General features: G+C 55.8%; 2 protein-coding genes across 11 annotated transcripts in view, besides 7 other annotated features; both read left to right on the top strand.

Annotated features, from left to right (window-relative positions):
• Positions 1 to 1,610, top strand: part of SEMA3F (semaphorin 3F) — a 34,018-nt gene extending 32,408 nt beyond the window's left edge. For all 9 annotated transcript variants that reach the window (XM_005265381.5, XM_011533998.3, XM_047448700.1 and 6 more), the window contains one exon: positions 240 to 1,610. In XM_005265381.5, the coding sequence (XP_005265438.1) occupies positions 240 to 650 (411 nt within the window). In that variant the 3' untranslated portion in view covers positions 651 to 1,610. The remainder of the gene's footprint in view (positions 1 to 239) is intronic.
• Positions 4,145 to 10,231, top strand: GNAT1 (G protein subunit alpha transducin 1). 2 transcript variants are annotated; one of them, NM_144499.3, is made up of 9 exons: positions 4,145 to 4,366; positions 5,668 to 5,710; positions 5,800 to 5,941; positions 6,041 to 6,198; positions 6,288 to 6,416; positions 6,627 to 6,756; positions 7,036 to 7,189; positions 7,300 to 7,491; positions 7,803 to 10,231. In NM_144499.3, exons 1-8 carry the CDS (start codon positions 4,261 to 4,263, stop codon positions 7,488 to 7,490), a joined length of 1,053 nt encoding a protein of 350 aa, NP_653082.1. In that variant the 5' UTR covers positions 4,145 to 4,260; the 3' UTR covers position 7,491; positions 7,803 to 10,231. The 2 variants fall into 2 exon arrangements, with proteins under 2 accessions (NP_653082.1, NP_000163.2); NM_000172.4 differs by having other exon boundaries at positions 8,937 to 10,231.
• Positions 5,901 to 6,417: an enhancer, noted in NCBI's record as "H3K27ac-H3K4me1 hESC enhancer chr3:50230799-50231315 (GRCh37/hg19 assembly coordinates)". NCBI's record gives its function as "activates a minimal SCP1, AML or CMV promoter by ChIP-STARR-seq in primed H9 embryonic stem cells {active_cell/tissue: H9 hESC(primed)}" and the evidence as "EXISTENCE:reporter gene assay evidence [ECO:0000049][PMID:30033119]".
• Positions 6,418 to 6,934: an enhancer, noted in NCBI's record as "H3K27ac-H3K4me1 hESC enhancer chr3:50231316-50231832 (GRCh37/hg19 assembly coordinates)". NCBI's record gives its function as "activates a minimal SCP1, AML or CMV promoter by ChIP-STARR-seq in primed H9 embryonic stem cells {active_cell/tissue: H9 hESC(primed)}" and the evidence as "EXISTENCE:reporter gene assay evidence [ECO:0000049][PMID:30033119]".
• Positions 6,418 to 6,946: a biological region, named in NCBI's record as "H3K27ac-H3K4me1 hESC enhancer GRCh37_chr3:50231316-50231832".
• Positions 6,887 to 6,946: an enhancer, noted in NCBI's record as "active region_19889". NCBI's record gives its function as "activates an Ori minimal core promoter by ATAC-STARR-seq in GM12878 lymphoblastoid cells {active_cell/tissue: GM12878}" and the evidence as "EXISTENCE:reporter gene assay evidence [ECO:0000049][PMID:35858748]".
• Positions 6,935 to 7,450: an enhancer, noted in NCBI's record as "H3K27ac-H3K4me1 hESC enhancer chr3:50231833-50232348 (GRCh37/hg19 assembly coordinates)". NCBI's record gives its function as "activates a minimal SCP1, AML or CMV promoter by ChIP-STARR-seq in primed H9 embryonic stem cells {active_cell/tissue: H9 hESC(primed)}" and the evidence as "EXISTENCE:reporter gene assay evidence [ECO:0000049][PMID:30033119]".
• Positions 7,257 to 7,316: a silencer, noted in NCBI's record as "silent region_14383". NCBI's record gives its function as "represses an Ori minimal core promoter by ATAC-STARR-seq in GM12878 lymphoblastoid cells {active_cell/tissue: GM12878}" and the evidence as "EXISTENCE:reporter gene assay evidence [ECO:0000049][PMID:35858748]".
• Positions 7,503 to 8,034: an enhancer, noted in NCBI's record as "H3K4me1 hESC enhancer chr3:50232401-50232932 (GRCh37/hg19 assembly coordinates)". NCBI's record gives its function as "activates a minimal SCP1, AML or CMV promoter by ChIP-STARR-seq in primed H9 embryonic stem cells {active_cell/tissue: H9 hESC(primed)}" and the evidence as "EXISTENCE:reporter gene assay evidence [ECO:0000049][PMID:30033119]".

Here is a 16,695-nt window from a genome sequence, read left to right on the forward strand (position 1 = left end):
AAATTTTCCTCATTGTACAGAACCTCCTTATGGTCATCACTCCTGAAATGGAAATCTGTACAGATGCCTTATTCAAATATCTCTCATTATGTAGAAACTTCATGTGGTTTTTCTGGCATATGGAAATCCCACATGGGTGCCTCTACACGGAATGGCCACAAAGGTGGTCTGATCTGGTTGCTGGCTAGGGCCATAGGGTGGTCACAGAGCCTCTGAACCCCCTCTCCTTGCCCCTGCAGATTCGTGCAGAGGACCGCTTCCTGCGCACAGAGCAGGGCTTGTTGCTCCGTGCACTGCAGCTCAGCGATCGTGGCCTCTACTCCTGCACAGCCACTGAGAACAACTTTAAGCACGTCGTCACACGAGTGCAGCTGCATGTACTGGGCCGGGACGCCGTCCATGCTGCCCTCTTCCCACCACTGTCCATGAGCGCCCCGCCACCCCCAGGCGCAGGCCCCCCAACGCCTCCTTACCAGGAGTTAGCCCAGCTGCTGGCCCAGCCAGAAGTGGGCCTCATCCACCAGTACTGCCAGGGTTACTGGCGCCATGTGCCCCCCAGCCCCAGGGAGGCTCCAGGGGCACCCCGGTCTCCTGAGCCCCAGGACCAGAAAAAGCCCCGGAACCGCCGGCACCACCCTCCGGACACATGAGGCCAGCTGCCTGTGCCTGCCATGGGCCAGCCTAGCCCTTGTCCCTTTTAATATAAAAGATATATATATATATATATATATATAAAATATCTATATTCTATACACACCCTGCCCCTGCAAAGACAGTATTTATTGGTGGGTTGAATATAGCCTGCCTCAGTGGCAGCATCCTCCAAAACTTAGACCCATGCTGGTCAGAGACGGCAGAAAACAGAGCCTGCCTAACCAGGCCCAGCCAGTTGGTGGGGCCAGGCCAGGACCACACAGTCCCCAGACTCAGCTGGAAGTCTACCTGCTGGACAGCCTCCGCCAAGATCTACAGGACAAAGGGAGGGAGCAAGCCCTACTCGGATGGGGCACGGACTGTCCACCTTTTCTGATGTGTGTTGTCAGCCTGTGCTGTGGCATAGACATGGATGCGAGGACCACTTTGGAGACTGGGGTGGCCTCAAGAGCACACAGAGAAGGGAAGAAGGGGCCATCACAGGATGCCAGCCCCTGCCTGGGTTGGGGGCACTCAGCCACGACCAGCCCCTTCCTGGGTATTTATTCTCTATTTATTGGGGATAGGAGAAGAGGCATCCTGCCTGGGTGGGACAGCCTCTTCAGCCCCTTCTCCCCTCCCCGCCTGGCCAGGGCAGGGCCACCCCACTCTACCTCCTTAGCTTTCCCTGTGCCACTTTGACTCAGAGGCTGGGAGCATAGCAGAGGGGCCAGGCCCAGGCAGAGCTGACGGGAGGCCCCAGCTCTGAGGGGAGGGGGTCCGTGGTAGAGGCCTGGGGCCGGTAGAGGCTCCCCAGGGCTCCCTTATGTCCACCACTTCAGGGGATGGGTGTGGATGTAATTAGCTCTGGGGGGCAGTTGGGTAGATGGGTGGGGGCTCCTGGTGGCCTTCTGCTGCCCAGGCCACAGCCGCCTTTGGGTTCCATCTTGCTAATAAACACTGGCTCTGGGACTAGACTTTGGCTTCTCTCCTTGGTCAGGGGATTTAGAGCCACACGTGGTGGGCCTGGGGAGCCAGGTGGGGGGCTGGGAAGGGAGTAGATTGGCTCCATTTAAAGAAACCCAACATGTAGAAACCACATTTAGTTTGACAAACCTGGGCTGCTGCACCACCCCAAACACTTGGGTAGTGCGAAGGGCTGTAGAGACCCCTCAGGGCCCACTCACTCCTCAGGGTCAGGGAGGGTGGGTGGAGCCTGAAGGCTGAAAGTGGCAGAAATGCAACGGCCTCACTCCTGGACAGATCCCCATCATCCAACAGGGTGGGTGTAGAAGCTGCCAGCCTGTGGTAGGAGCCAGCATTCACTTCCCACGCATACTATTTAGAGACAGCCGTTAGTGCTCAGTGTCTGGTGCCCCGGCACCCCCTTGTGGTCTCTTGAGTCTGTGGCAGAGTTGAGTGCTGAAAGGCAGCCAGGTTCCAGGGAAGAGTCCAGCCAGGAGGCTCAGGGTGCCTGGAGGAGCCTTTGAGAGCCCAAGATTTGGGTTTTCCTATGGAAGTTGAGGGTGGGAAGTCTCTAGAACCTGGGAGCTCAACCTGAACAATTTCTGCCCGGCAGTGAGCCCTGCACCTGAACAGAGCACCAGACCCCCTAAGCTGAGGCAGGCAGGCCCTGGAGATAATCTTAGGCAGGCCTCAGAGCACCCACAGCAGACAGAGCAGGAGCAGGATAGGTGAGCCCCATTCCTCCATACCCCAGGGAACACTACACCTGCTCTGGGATGCAATTTCTCCACCTGGCAACAGGCCTGCAAAACATTCTCTGGAAGAGCCTGGCCACTTCTGCAGATTAGAGACTTTGTTGCACCCAAATTCAAGTGTACATATAGGCACAGGCGCCTGCAAGCATGCATGCACACACACAGTCATACACAGGCAGAGATGGACATGCACAGGCACACATATGCTCAGGTACAAACAGGCATGTTTACACCCCTGCGTATAAGCAAGTGCACACATGCAAACCTACACAAACTGCAAAACACACAAGCCTATGTGTGCATGAAGAGAATACACAAAGCATATTCACACATGCATACACATGTGTATACATGTGCACACATACATAAGCATGCGCACAGGCACGTGATTCCTATAAGAGCACATGCACTCACAAAGGCATAAACATGCAGGCACACATGTACACACAGGTATTCATGCACAAATGTGTCAAGTTATTGCTCGCTTGGTGCCAGCAAAAGACACACCCATGGCCGGGCGAGGTGGCTCACACCTGAATCCCAGCACTTTGGGAGGCCGAGGTGGGTGGATCACAAGGTCAGGAGATCGAGACCATCCTGACCAACATGGTGAAACCCCGTCTCTACTAAAAATACACAAAAAATTAGCTGGGTATGGTGGCACATGCCCGTAATCCCAGCTACTTGGGAGGCTGAGGTGGGAGAAGCTTAAACCAGGGAGTTGAAGGTTGCAGTGAGCCAAGATCGTGTCACAGCACTCAAGCCTGGCAACAGAGTGAAACTCTGTCTCAAAAAAAAAAAAAAAAAAAAAAAAAAAAGGCCAGGCACGGTGGCTCATGCCTGTAATCCCAGCACTTTGGGAGGCCGAGGCGGGCAGATCACGAGGTCAGGAGACTGAGACCATCCTGGCTAACACGGTGAAACCCTGTCTTTACTAAAATACAAAAAAAGTAGCCCGACGTAGTGGCGGGCACCTGTTGTCCCAGCTACTCAGGAGGCTGAGGCAGGAGAATGGCGTGAACCTGGGAGGTGGAGCTTGCAGTGAGCTGAGATTGCGCCACTGCACTCCAGCCTGAGCAACAGAGCGAGACTCCATCTCAGAAAAAAAAAAAAAAAAGACACATACACCGAGGCACACAGAGCAGATATGCATGCCCACCACAGTCCGCTGGAAGCAGAGGACCTCCTTGGGGCAGCTCCAGCCTGTGATATGGGATGAATGCAATGCCCACTGTTTCCCTCTCTCTGGATTCCCTGCAGGTCATAAAATCCCAGTCCAGAGTCACCAGCCCTTCTTAACCACTTCCTACTGTGTGACCCTTTCAGCCTTTACTTCCTCATCAGTAAAATGAGGCTGATGATATGGGCATCCATACTCCAGGGCCAGTGTGAGCTTACAACAAGATAAGGAGTGGTGCTGAGCCTGGTGCCGGGCAGGCAGCAGGCATGTTTCTCCCAATTATGCCCTCTCACTGCCAGCCCCACCTCCATTGTCCTCACCCCCAGGGCTCAAGGTTCTGCCTTCCCCTTTCTCAGCCCTGACCCTACTGAACATGTCTCCCCACTCCCAGGCAGTGCCAGGGCCTCTCCTGGAGGGTTGCGGGGACAGAAGGACAGCCGGAGTGCAGAGTCAGCGGTTGAGGGATTGGGGCTATGCCAGCCCGATTAGAAGGGTTGGGGGGGCTGAGCTGGATTCACCTGTCCTTGTCTCTGATTGGCTCTTGGACACCCCTAGCCCCCAAATCCCACTAAGCAGCCCCACCAGGGATTGCACAGGTCCGTAGAGAGCCAGTTGATTGCAGGTCCTCCTGGGGCCAGAAGGGTGCCTGGGAGGCCAGGTTCTGGGGATCCCCTCCATCCAGAAGAACCACCTGCTCACTCTGTCCCTTCGCCTGCTGCTGGGACCATGGGGGCTGGGGCCAGTGCTGAGGAGAAGCACTCCAGGGAGCTGGAAAAGAAGCTGAAAGAGGACGCTGAGAAGGATGCTCGAACCGTGAAGCTGCTGCTTCTGGGTAGGGGTGTGGGCCCAGGTGGGGCCACTGCCACCAGGTCATTGGTCTGGAGGCAGGCAGGCAGCCCTTCTGTGAAGCAAGGATTCCCTGGGAAGCAGTATGAGCCTGTGACAGAGTAGGGCACAGGGTGGGAGCCCTGGCCAAGCAAGGCCAGGCCTGACAGGTGGTGTCCTAGTCCCCCAGGGCTGGACATCCCACAAAGCCCCTCTCCAGACGGCTCTGCCTCAGGTGACCCACCCTCCCCAGAAGTGCGTGCCAACCACACTCTTGCACGGGTGTGTGATGCCGACTTTTCCGTGGCTGGGTTCCCGCAAGCTTCATGCAGCCTTTGGTTTGATACGCCTGCTAGGCAATGCTCAGAAGCCAGGAGCCTCACTGGGAGCCCGTTATTGGGCTGCTACTTTGGGAAGGGGATGGCCATAGTCCTCCTGGGAGTGGGGAGCCTCTAGGACCACCCAGATCCACAACGAATGGCCCTCAGGTGCCAGAGGGCTGTGGCTGATAGACCTACAAAGCAGCCAGAGGGGCTGGCGGGTACTGAGGCCCAGTGGGAGTAGATAAAGCCGCGTCCACTGGACCATGGGCACTGAGGAGAGATGGGGCTGATCCAGGCCTGCCTCAAGGTCACTGCCTGACCTCTCAAGGGGAAAAAGCAGCTTCAAGAGGGGCTCCACCCAAGCTCCCCAGGGTCTGGTCAACCAGCTGGAGGTGGGTGAGGGACCAAGCCAGTCCCACTTTCCCCCAAGGCAGAGAGGCTAAGCCGGAAATCTCATTAACTGTGCCCAACGCCCTCGCAGGGGCAAGCTCAGAAAGGATGTCAACTCTGCCCTCCCTCCTACCCAAAAGAGCTAATTCCCTCTGAGCCTCCTGGAGACACCTGCACCCCTTCAGGTGAAATGCAAGGGGTTTACCCGCCTCAAATAACCCAGTGCTTGCGGTACCAGAGGCTCCCACGAGGTGGCGATGACGCTCCGGGATTTCTTCATTGCAGTCTCACAGCATAATAAAGGCTGCCTGTGCCGGGGTCTTGGGGACTCCCCTGTCCCAGAACAGTTGAGGTCGTTGAGTCCCCTCGTTGGCTTCCTTTCTTCACTTTCCTGGCATTTGCAAACCTTGTGACTTCAGGATGTCAGGACTTAATTTGGATGGGGGGGTAGGTGTGGCTACGGGGTCGGGGCTGGCGCTCAGGCCTCTTCGCTGCGGGTCCACCCTGCCAACTCGGGAGGTCCCCGTCCTCCTGGCCTCCTTGCTGGAGGGGGCAGGCTGGTCAGCGCAGCTCTGAGGCGCCGCGTCTCTTTCAGGTGCCGGTGAGTCCGGGAAGAGCACCATCGTCAAGCAGATGAAGTGAGTGCCCCTGCCTGTCCCGAGGCCCCTGGGTCTGGGTCCTTCCCCACTTCCCCACGAGGCGCTGATTCTGCTCTCCTCGGCCTCAGGATTATCCACCAGGACGGGTACTCGCTGGAAGAGTGCCTCGAGTTTATCGCCATCATCTACGGCAACACGTTGCAGTCCATCCTGGCCATCGTACGCGCCATGACCACACTCAACATCCAGTACGGAGACTCTGCACGCCAGGTGTGCCAGGAGGCGGGCTGAGCGGGCCTCTGGGGACTCGAGGCTCGCGGCTGGGCCCGAGTCCCTGGCCGCCACCAGCCACTCTCACCCTGCCCCCAGGACGACGCCCGGAAGCTGATGCACATGGCAGACACTATCGAGGAGGGCACGATGCCCAAGGAGATGTCGGACATCATCCAGCGGCTGTGGAAGGACTCCGGTATCCAGGCCTGTTTTGAGCGCGCCTCGGAGTACCAGCTCAACGACTCGGCGGGCTAGTGAGCGCGCGGGCAGCGCGGGGCGCGGGGCGCGGGGCGCAGGGGGCCCTCCACGCCTCCCCACCCACCTACGGCCGGGTCTCGCGCAGCTACCTCTCCGACCTGGAGCGCCTGGTAACCCCGGGCTACGTGCCCACCGAGCAGGACGTGCTGCGCTCGCGAGTCAAGACCACTGGCATCATCGAGACGCAGTTCTCCTTCAAGGATCTCAACTTCCGGTACGACCCATACGCTAGCCCAGGAGGTCACTGCCCCAGGCCCCGTCCTGCCCCGGGGACCCCATCCCTGCGATAGACCCTGCCCCTTCCCTGATACCCCGCCAGCAGAAAGGGTGGTAGTCCCGGCCGAGAGCTCCCCGACCAGCACAGGGCGAAGGGATGTTGCCTGTGGGGCCCGGGGCGCAGGTTCAGGCCCCCGCGGCCCCGCAGGATGTTCGATGTGGGCGGGCAGCGCTCGGAGCGCAAGAAGTGGATCCACTGCTTCGAGGGCGTGACCTGCATCATCTTCATCGCGGCGCTGAGCGCCTACGACATGGTGCTAGTGGAGGACGACGAAGTGGTGCGTGCCAGGCAGGGCCTGTGTTCCAGGGGGGCGAGGAGGAGCTGCTGGTCCCTGGAGGCGGAGACCGCGCGCTGGGCTGGGGGAGGGCACGGGAGGGGATGCCTGTCCCGGGCGGCCTGAGGAGGCCCGGAGGCGTTCAGCAGGCCCATCTGGGGCAGTGCGGGGAGCCCTCTGAGAGCCAGCTGAGCGGGAAGCCCCGCGTGCCCGGGAGCCCAGAGAGCAGGTGCTGCGGGTCGGACGCTACCCCGGGTGCCCAACAGCTGCTGCCCTCCTCAGAACCGCATGCACGAGAGCCTGCACCTGTTCAACAGCATCTGCAACCACCGCTACTTCGCCACGACGTCCATCGTGCTCTTCCTTAACAAGAAGGACGTCTTCTTCGAGAAGATCAAGAAGGCGCACCTCAGCATCTGTTTCCCGGACTACGATGGTGAGAAGTCCGCAAGGCCGCCAGGCGGCGCCCCCGCCCCACGATCGCGGCGCGCACCCCCCGCACGGGGAAGGAAGGGCTGAGCAGAGTGAGAGCTCCCGCCCCCGCAGGACCCAACACCTACGAGGACGCCGGCAACTACATCAAGGTGCAGTTCCTCGAGCTCAACATGCGGCGCGACGTGAAGGAGATCTATTCCCACATGACGTGCGCCACCGACACGCAGAACGTCAAATTTGTCTTCGACGCTGTCACCGACATCATCATCAAGGAGAACCTCAAAGACTGTGGCCTCTTCTGAGGTAGGTCGCTGCCCTCTCCAGGCTCTTGCCTCAATACCCCAGCCCCGTCCAGCTCCCCACCCCACACCACGGCCCTGGAGCCTCACCCCCAAATCCTGGAGCCTACTGCCTCCAGGCCCCACCCCAGCTCCTCAGGCTCCACCCCACCGACAGAGGCCCCGCCCCACCCCACAAGTCCCACCCATTGAATTTCTTTTGGCCCCGCCCCAAGACCTCAGGTGTCACAGCTTCCAGGGCCGCCCCACCACACACAATGCCTAAACCCATTTATTTTGGGTCTCAGGGATGCTGACTGGGTTTCCTTTTCACAGGTGCCTGAATTCATGCGTGTCAGTCACCCTGAGACCTGGTAGCCCTAGCTGCCTTGCAGCCCCAAACCCCAGGACCCTATCAGCCCCCTGGGACTCCCTGGCCCCAACCTGCCACCTCACCAAAGCTCTGAGCCCTGCTAGCCTTGAGGCGCGGACCCTCCCCCATACCTCCCACAGTATCCCAGCGCCTCATGCCCCCAACCCCAAGCCCTGCCCTTCACCGCCCGGCTGCACTGGCCTCTAGGACTCACAGCAGCCAGCCCCAGCTAGGAACGGGCAGGACTTGGGGCAGCTGAAGCTCACGGTGACTCAGCAGTGCCCAACTGACCAATCTCCCGCAGCTCTCCTGCCCCTGGGGGCCCACGACTCACCTGGTGGGCCTGGGCTCAGCAAACAGCCCTCCCTCCCAGTATTTCATCAAGGACAGGGAATATCCCTCCCACACACAGGCCAGCTGCTCACCCTGCCACCTCCATGTGACAAGTTTGACACCTGTCTACCCAGAGCCAGTGACTGTCCCTCCCAGCAGCCTCCAAAGGGTCCAAAGTCCAAGCTAGCTCTGGCCTGTGTGGCCCCCACATAAATAAATTAGTGGGGAGGGGGCAGACCTGGGGGCCCTTGGGTGCCAGAGTGAGACACAGCAGGACCCTTCCCCAAATACTAGGCTCAGAGCAACCTCCAGCCTTCTCCAGCAGGATCTGCTCCCTGTGTCCTTGGACAGCAGATCCACACACCACTTCCCCACCCACACACAGTACCCTGGGCTGGTTGGACAACAGGATGGTGTGTTAAGGGGTTAAGGGAGGGTACTGTTGACACCAGCTATGGCCAATAGCTGGGCTGTCCTGAGGGGTGGCTGGGGACAGAGTCCAGCTCCCTTGGATCAGCCCAGAGGATTCAGGATAGGACAAAGGCCCTGGCTGTGCCCAAAAGGGTCTACCTCAGGTGGGGTTACAAGCAAACCTGGGTGACCCTCTTGTCCCTACCAGCAGCTTCTCTTGCCCCTTCCATTCAGGGTTCCCTGGCAGGGGAAGCTGAGAGCCATGGCTGAACTATCAGGGACAAAGGCCCATGTCCCCACATCCCTGCTCCCTCCTTCCTCATCCAGCACCAAATCTTTGCTTATGTCCACAGGCCAGGGCCTGTGCTGCAGTCGGGGACAAGGAGCTTCCGTCTGGCAAGGCCGGGGCACAATTTGCACTCCCCTCAGCTAGACGCACAGACTCAGCAATAAACCTTTGCATCAGGCTCCAGCTGTCCTTTCTTGGTGGAGGACTTAATTATCACAAGTCATGGGCATTTATTAAGTGCCCAGTGCTGGGTTGGGCATGAAGTGGGAAGATGGCCCCTCCCAGGAAGAAGTACCTGGCCTGACAAGGTGGGGCACTCTTGGGGGTATGGGACCAACTCATGGCTTTTCACGGGAGTTGAGGAGAGAGGAGCTGTGGAAAATATTCACTGGGACAGTCTTGGATCAAGAGGGAGTTTTGAGGTGGAGGCTCATTCTGGCAGGGACCGTAGTGTCTACCAGCCCCAGAAACATGGGCTTATGGCCACAGGAGTTCAGTGGAGCAAGAGCAGGGGAGGAGAGACGTGGACAGGTGCCCAAAGCCAGTCGGAGGGCCTGGGCTTTCTCAGAAGGTGATGGAGAGTCTTGGAAGCCCTCGAGGCAGGAACATAATTGCAGGGCTGGGATTAGGGTGAGGGAAGTGAGGCACACTCACCTTGGGTGCAACATTTAAGGCGATGCCAAAAAATTTAGTAACCAAGGTAAATAATATTAGGATAATATTTTTAAAAATCAAATGAATGCAAAACCCCACAATGAATGAAATATCAAAATCCAACAGAGGATCAAACAGAGGCATGCTAAGATATATTGGGGCTTGAAGCAAAGGGAAAACTATTTGTTGCTATATGTTTGTAGGGATTTTTTGCCAGTTTTAAAAATACATGTATCATAAAGTTTACTATCTCAGCCACTTGCCGGTGTATAGTTTGGTGGTGTTAAGTACATTCATAATGTTGTACAACCACCGCAACTGTTCATCTCCAGAACTCCTTTCCTCTTGTAAAACTGTAACTCTGTACCCATGAAAAAATAACCCCCCATTCCTGCCTTCCCCCGGCTCCTGGCATCCACCATTCTACTTTCCATCTCTATGAATGTGACTGCTCTAAGTGCCTCAGATGTGTGGGTCCATGAAGTCTTTGTCTTTTTGCAACTGGCTTATTTCACTTAGCATCATGTCTTCAAGGTTTATTCATGTGTAGCATATGGCAGAATCTCCTTCCTTTTTAAGGTTGAATAATATTCCATTGTATATATTCCACACTTTGTTTATTTATTCATCTATTGATGAATGGTTACATCTGCCTTTTGGCTATTGTGAATAATGCTGCTATGAACATGGGTGTACAAATCTCTCTCCCAGCCTCTGTTTTTTATTATTTTGGGTGTATACCCAGAAATGGAACTGGCAAATCATATGGTGAATCTTTTTTTTTTTTTTTTTTTTTTGAGACAGAGTCTCTCTCTGTCGCCAGCCTGGAGTGCAGCGGCACAATTTCGGCTCCCTGCAACCTCCGCCTCCCAGGTTCAAGCAATTATCCTGCCTCAGTCTCCTGAGTAGCTGGGACTACAGGCACACGCCACCATGCCCAACTAATTTTTGTGTTTTTAGTAGAGACGGGGTTTCACCATGTTGTCCAGGATGGTCTCGATCTATCTCTTGATCTCAGGTGATCTGCCCACCTCGGCCTCCCAGAGTGCTGGGATTACAGGCGTGAGCCACTGCAACCGGCCTCATATGGTGAATCTATTTTTATTTTATTTATTTATTTATTTATTTATTTTGAGACGAAGTTTTGCTCTTGTTGCCCAGGCTGGAGTGGCAATGGCATGATCTCGGCTCACTGCAACCTCCTCCTTCCATGTTCAAGTGATTCTGCCTCAGCCTCCCAAGCAGCTAGGATTACAGGCATGTGCCACCACACCTGGCTAATTTTGTATTTTTAGTAGAGATGGGGTTTCACCATGTTGGTCAGGCTGGTCTCGAACTCCCAACCTCAGGTGATCCGCCTGCCTTGGTCTCCCAAAGTGCTGGGATTACAGGCGTGAGCCACTGCACCTGACCCCTTTTTTTGAAATGAAGTCTCACTCGGTCGCCCAGGCTGGAGTGCAGTGGCACGATCTCAGCTCACTGCAATCTCTGCCTCCCGGGTTCAAGTGATTCTCCTGCCTCAGTCTCCCAAGAAGCTGGGAGTATAGGCACCCACCACCATGCCTGGCTAATTTTTGTATTTAGTAGAGATGGGGTTTCACCATGTTGGCCAGGCTGGTCTTGAATTCCTGACCTCAAGTGATCTGCCCACCTCGGCCTCCCGAAGTGCTGGGATTACAGGTGTGAACCACTGCGCTCAGCCTACTTTTAATATTTTGAGGAACAGTTTTCCACAGCAGCTGTACCATTTTACATTCCCACCAACAGTGCACAGGTGGTCCCCCTTCCTCTACATATTTGTGAACTCTTGTTATTTTCTGGGTTTTGTTTTGTTTGAGATGGGGTCTCGCTCTGTTGCCCAGGCTGGAGTGCAGTGGCACAATCTCGGCTCTGCAACCTCTGCCTCCTGGGTTCAAGCAATTCTCCTGTCTCAGCCTCCCGAATAGCTAGGACTACAGCTGCATGCCAGCATGCCCGGCTAATTTTTTTTTTTTTTTTTTTGAGACGGAGTTTCATTCTTGTTGCCCAGGCTGGAGTGCAATGGTGTGATCTCAGCTCACTGCAACCTCCACCTCCTGGGTTCAAGCCATTCCCCTGCCTCAGCCTCCCAAGTAGCTGGGATTACAGGAATGCACCACCACATCTGGCTAATTTTGTATTTTTGGTAGAGACGGGGTTTCTCCATGTTGGTCAGGCTGGTCTCAAACTCCCGACCTCAAGTGATCCGCCCGCCTCGGTCTCCCAAAGTGCTGGGATTACAGGCATGAGCCACCGCACCTGACCTATTTTTCTTTTTTAATAGTAGTATCTCTTGGTAGTTTTGATTTGCATTTTCCTACTGCTTAGTGATGTTGAGAATCTTTTCCTGTGCTTATTGGCCATCTGTATATCTTCTTTGGAGAAATGCCTGTCCAAGTCCTTTGCCCATTTTTGAATTGAGTTATTTTAATGTTGTTGTTGAGTCTTAGAAGTTCTCTATATATTCTGGAGAATAATTCCTTATCAGAGATAGGATTTGCAAATTTTTTTCCCACTCCGTGGGTTGCCTTTTAAACTCATTTTATGTATTTTTAATGGTTAATTTTTTTCCAGAACATTAAATAGTTGAAAAAACTTGTAAAAGTAGGTATGTTAAAACTCACATTATTTTAAGCTTGAATATTTTATTTATAACTTAAACAGAATTTTTTTTTTTTGAGATGGAGTTTCACTCTTGTTGGCCAGGCTGGAGTGCAATGGCGTGATCTTGGCGCACAGCAACTTCTGCCTCCTGGGTTCAAGCGATTCTCCTGCCTCAGCCTCCTGAGTAGCTGGGATTACAGGCATGCACCACCACGCCCGGCTAATTTTGTAGTTTTAGTAGAGACCGGTTTTTTTCATGTTAGTCAGGCTAGTCTTGAACTCCCGACCTCAGGTGATCTGCCCGCCTCACCTCCCAAAGTGCTGAGATTGCAGGTGTGAGCCACTGTGCCCGGCCAGAATTTCTTATAATTCTATTTTCCTGGGTTTAATGGAGACAAAAATAACCAATACCATTTTCAAAATCTGCTTCTTGAAAAAATAATTATTAAAAGTTTTCATTAAGGCTGGACGTGGTGGCTCATGGCTGTAATCCCAGCACTTTGGGAGGCAGAGGGGGAAGAATCACCTGAGGTCTCGAGACCAGCCTGGCCAACATGGTGAAACACCATCTCTACTGAAAACACAAAAATTAGCTGGGCGTGGTGGCACATGCCTGTAGTCCCAGCTACTAGGGAGGCTGAGGCAGGAGAATTGCTGGAGCCAGGAGGCAGAGGTTGCAGTGAGATTGTGCCACTGCACTCCAGCCTGGGCGACAGAGGGAGACTGTCTAAAATATATATATATATATTTGGCCAGGTGCGGTGGCTCACGCCTGTAATCCCAGCACTTTGGGAGGCCAAGGCGGGCGGATCACGAGGTCAGGAGATCAAGACCATCCTGGCTAACACAGTGAAACCCCGTCTCTACTAAAAATACAAAAAATTAGCCAGGCGTGGTGGCGGGTGCCTGTGGTCCCAGCTACTTGGGAGGCTGAGGCAGGAGAATGGCGTGAACCCGGGAGGCGGAGCTTGCAGTGAGCCAAGATCGTGCCACTGCACTCCAGCCTGGGCGACAGAACAAGACTCCGTCTCAAAAAAAAAAAAAAAAGAAAAGAAAAAAGAAAAAAAGAAAAGAAAAAAGAAAGAAAAAAAAAGAAAAAATATATATATATTTTTTTCATTAAAACATGTATATAGGGGCACATATTTTTCCTGGAACCAGTGTGAGTGTGGAGGAGGAGAGGAGTGTGGCTCGGGTCCCCATGAGGCATAGGTTATGTCTCCGTTATCTGACAAAACCAAGGGCTACAAGGCAAGGGGCTCAGTGACAGGGGTTGGGGTCTGAGCGGTTGACCAAGCACAGGCAACGCCCCCACTAAGCCAGTATTGTGGAGGGGTGTTGGATGGGCTGAATTTGCAGGACCTGTAGTGCTTGGGGGAGATGTCCAGGAGGCCGACTGATACTCAGTGCTGGGCAGAAAGCTAAGTGTAGGCATCATCCTCAATGTCCAGGTGGTGGGGAGCTGTGAGCCTGTCGGAGGCTGGAAAGGGGAGCATGAGGGCACCCAGGCCTGAGCACAGGAAGAACACTGGTTGGGGTTGGGAGTCCAGTGCACATGTGGGCAGTGATATTGGTGCTGCTCAGAAGCCTGGGCATGGGGGCGATCTAGCCAGTGGTGCAAGACCCCTGCTGGGTGCTGTTGGCCTGGCTGAGCCAGGGCTGTTCATCTCTACTAAGGACCTGCTCCCCAAACAGTTTGCTAGAGTGAGGTGGGATGCGGGCAGTGACAGAAGGAGGTAGTGGGCATGGGATAGGAGGCCCTGAGGAGCTGGAAGTGTTAGGCTTGAGAGGGAGGAAGCTGTCAGGAGAGGTGACTTAGTGGGGTCTTCTGCACAGCCACCTTGTCTTGGCAGAAAGGTAAGGCGCTCCCCGGCATTCCTGGGCAAGGGACAGAAGAGCCCCAGCAACATGCAGGGGCTGGACCCTGCCCTCCAGGGGGTCCCGCCCCACATATGCTTCTGACCCTGGGGTCTGGGATTCAGGGTCGGTACTCCTGGATCCTGTGAGTTGGGGACGCTGCCTGGCCTCAAACTGCCCTGTCCATGGCCAGCAAGTGTGGAGGGGCCCTGAGTCTCCCAGCCTGAAACCTGCTTAGCTCTGCTCACCATACCAGTGTAATTACACGCTAAGGAGCAGGATCAATGGGTGCCTGATGCCTGATTCACAGTCCAGGGCAGAGGATCAGAGAGCACTGGCCCAGAGTCAGCACAGTGGCCACACCCCAGTCTTGTAGGTGGTGCATTTACTGTGGTCACCTCTAGCCACCACCATCCCTGCCTGGCCTGCAACCTCAAGGTGCCCCTGAGGGCCCCCACAGCCTTCAGCTCTGGCTCTGGCGGGACTAACCTGGCCCGGCCACCGACCAGAGATTAGACAAGACTGGTGGATGGTTAATGCCACTGACGTCAGGGCCTGGCCGGGTGGCCACTAGGGGTTTGGGCCCTCCCCTCAGGCAGTAGCATAGTCCATGTGACCAGGGTTCATTAAGCTGCTTCAGTGGCCAGAGAAGCTGGGGGCCAGATCTCAGGAGAGAGACAGCAGGCATGTCATGGCTGTGGGGGCCAGGCCTTAGCCACGAGGTCACCAGCTCTGGGGGCCCAGGCCGGGGAAGGGCTGGATAAGAGGGTTGCCTATGGGTCCCCTCCATACTTCTACACTGTGTTGTGATACTAAAGCCCTGTTCATGCCCAAAGAGGAGCCTCCCAGGCACCAAACAGCAGGGCATAGTCAGCAGCTAGGGTGTGGTAATAGACCCTGAGGTGTGGGGGTGAGAACCACCTTCTCCTGAGGATTTCAAACCCCTGATCATGAGCCCAGAAGGAGCGTGCTGCCCTGCACGCAACCCTCCGCCCACCAGGGCTAGCCCTACGTCCAGGCTCCTTTCCCTCTGGCCGAGCTCCTTTCTCCATCCACAGTGCCCTTCCCCTCCTGACCCTTGCTTGTGCCTTTCTTACCCTTCGCAGAGCAAGTCTGTGGGCTGCTTTGCCATCAGGCTCTCCTTGATTTGCGCCCTCCAACCTCGCAGGCATTTTCCCATCTAGACCACCTGGAGACAGCGCTTGGAGACACTAGGGCTGGGGCTGTGTGGGTGGGGTGACAAGAGCAGCAAGAGCAGTAAGTGTCGGACTAGCTGGCTCTTCACAGTGACTCAGGCAGGGTTCTCAGAGGTGCTCTATGAGGGTGATGAAGGACAAGTAGGAGTCTGCCAAGGAGGTGGAACAGGGTAGGGAACCTTCAGCCCTGGGAAGCACGAGGGCAGAGGCACAGGAGCATGAAAGCTAGCAAGTTCTGTGAACAGCAGGAACGTGTGCAGCGTGGCCAGCCAAGCCCGGGGGAGGTGAAGAGGCTTGCTGGGAGCAGGTGGGCGGATATGAGGGAGGCCAGCCAGGTGTGGGGGCAGGAGCTGCAGGGGGTCTGAGGAGTCAGGGGACACAGATCCTGGGCTCTGGAAGGGCTAGGTTGGAGGCGAAGATGGGGCATTGCTGTTGGAGATGGTCTTGGGGCACTGTGTGGATAGCATGTTAGCAGAGGTGGTGGCATGGTGAGAAGAGGCAGCCTAGCTAGAGGCTGAGAGTTCATGACTAGAAAGGAAGAAGGAGAGCCAAGGGCTATTGGGGCCCTGGAAGGAGGATCTGAGCGGTCCTGGAGCCCTGAGCTCTGCTGCATGGGTCTGGCAGTCTTTCAGGCCTGGGTTTACGTTTTCAGAGATGGGGCAGTGGAGGCGGAGGCTGGGCTGAAGCTTGGGATAAAGCTTCCCCCATTCTCCATCCCAAGGGGCCGCCTGCAACTCTGTGGTTGCTTGGATGGACATTCCCTCTAGCCTCTGGAAGAAGGCGACCGGCAGCTCTCAGAGCCACATCCTAGCTGTCCAGCTGTCCGGTCACCACAGGCTGGGCTGGGAGATTCGGCAGGTGGTGGGAAAGGCCTCCGAGCTGTGTTTGCCCTGGCTGGGGCCCAGGCCTAGCAACAACAAACAGTCAGCCCCTCCCCCAGCCTGGCCACAACTGGTCTGACCCAGGGACCCCACATCATACCCTCCTCTGGGCCTCCCACAGCAGCCCAGCCCAGTCAGCCCCTGCTTCCTCCAGTCTAGATTGAGGACCCCAACACCCATATCCCAGGTGACCTTGAGCCAGCCCTGGCCCCTCAAGAACTGCCAGTGGGAGCCACCAGCCCTTTGCAGATAGCTCCTGTGAGCATCCAGGGTGTCTGCAAGTGGGAGGTTGAGGGGTGGGAGGCAGGCCTGAGACCCTCGTCAGCACCTCTTCTATATGGCTGTCCCATGGCAGAACCATGCCCATTTGGAGGGTGGGAGTCAAAGTGAGCTCTGATCTAAGGATGATATCAGCCCCAGACCAGGAGTGAAAGGCAGCCCTTTCCCATTTTCCAGCCACCAGCAAGGCAGAAGTTCGAGTGGCTTGAGGTTTTCAGGGGTTGCCACCATCCCAATGCCTTTCTCTCTAGCCCTGCCAGCCAGAGCTGAGTCCCCTGCCCGGTCTCACAGCTTCCCCTCCACTCATTCCCCTCAGGAGAAAAGACAGCCATTT

This window comes from Homo sapiens, chromosome 3 (genome assembly GCF_000001405.40).
Source record: "Homo sapiens chromosome 3, GRCh38.p14 Primary Assembly".
NCBI classification, from domain to species: Eukaryota; Metazoa; Chordata; class Mammalia; order Primates; family Hominidae; genus Homo; species Homo sapiens.

Bases quoted from the DNA above. Each gene is read 5' to 3' on its own strand.
- GNAT1 (NM_144499.3), top strand. From the start codon at position 4,261: ATGGGGGCTGGGGCCAGTGCTGAGGAGAAGCACTCCAGGGAGCTGGAA. The intron at 5,942-6,040 runs GTGTGCCAGGAG...CCCTGCCCCCAG, and splicing joins ACGGAGACTCTGCACGCCAG to GACGACGCCCGGAAGCTGAT. The intron at 6,757-7,035 runs GTGCGTGCCAGG...TGCCCTCCTCAG, and splicing joins TAGTGGAGGACGACGAAGTG to AACCGCATGCACGAGAGCCT.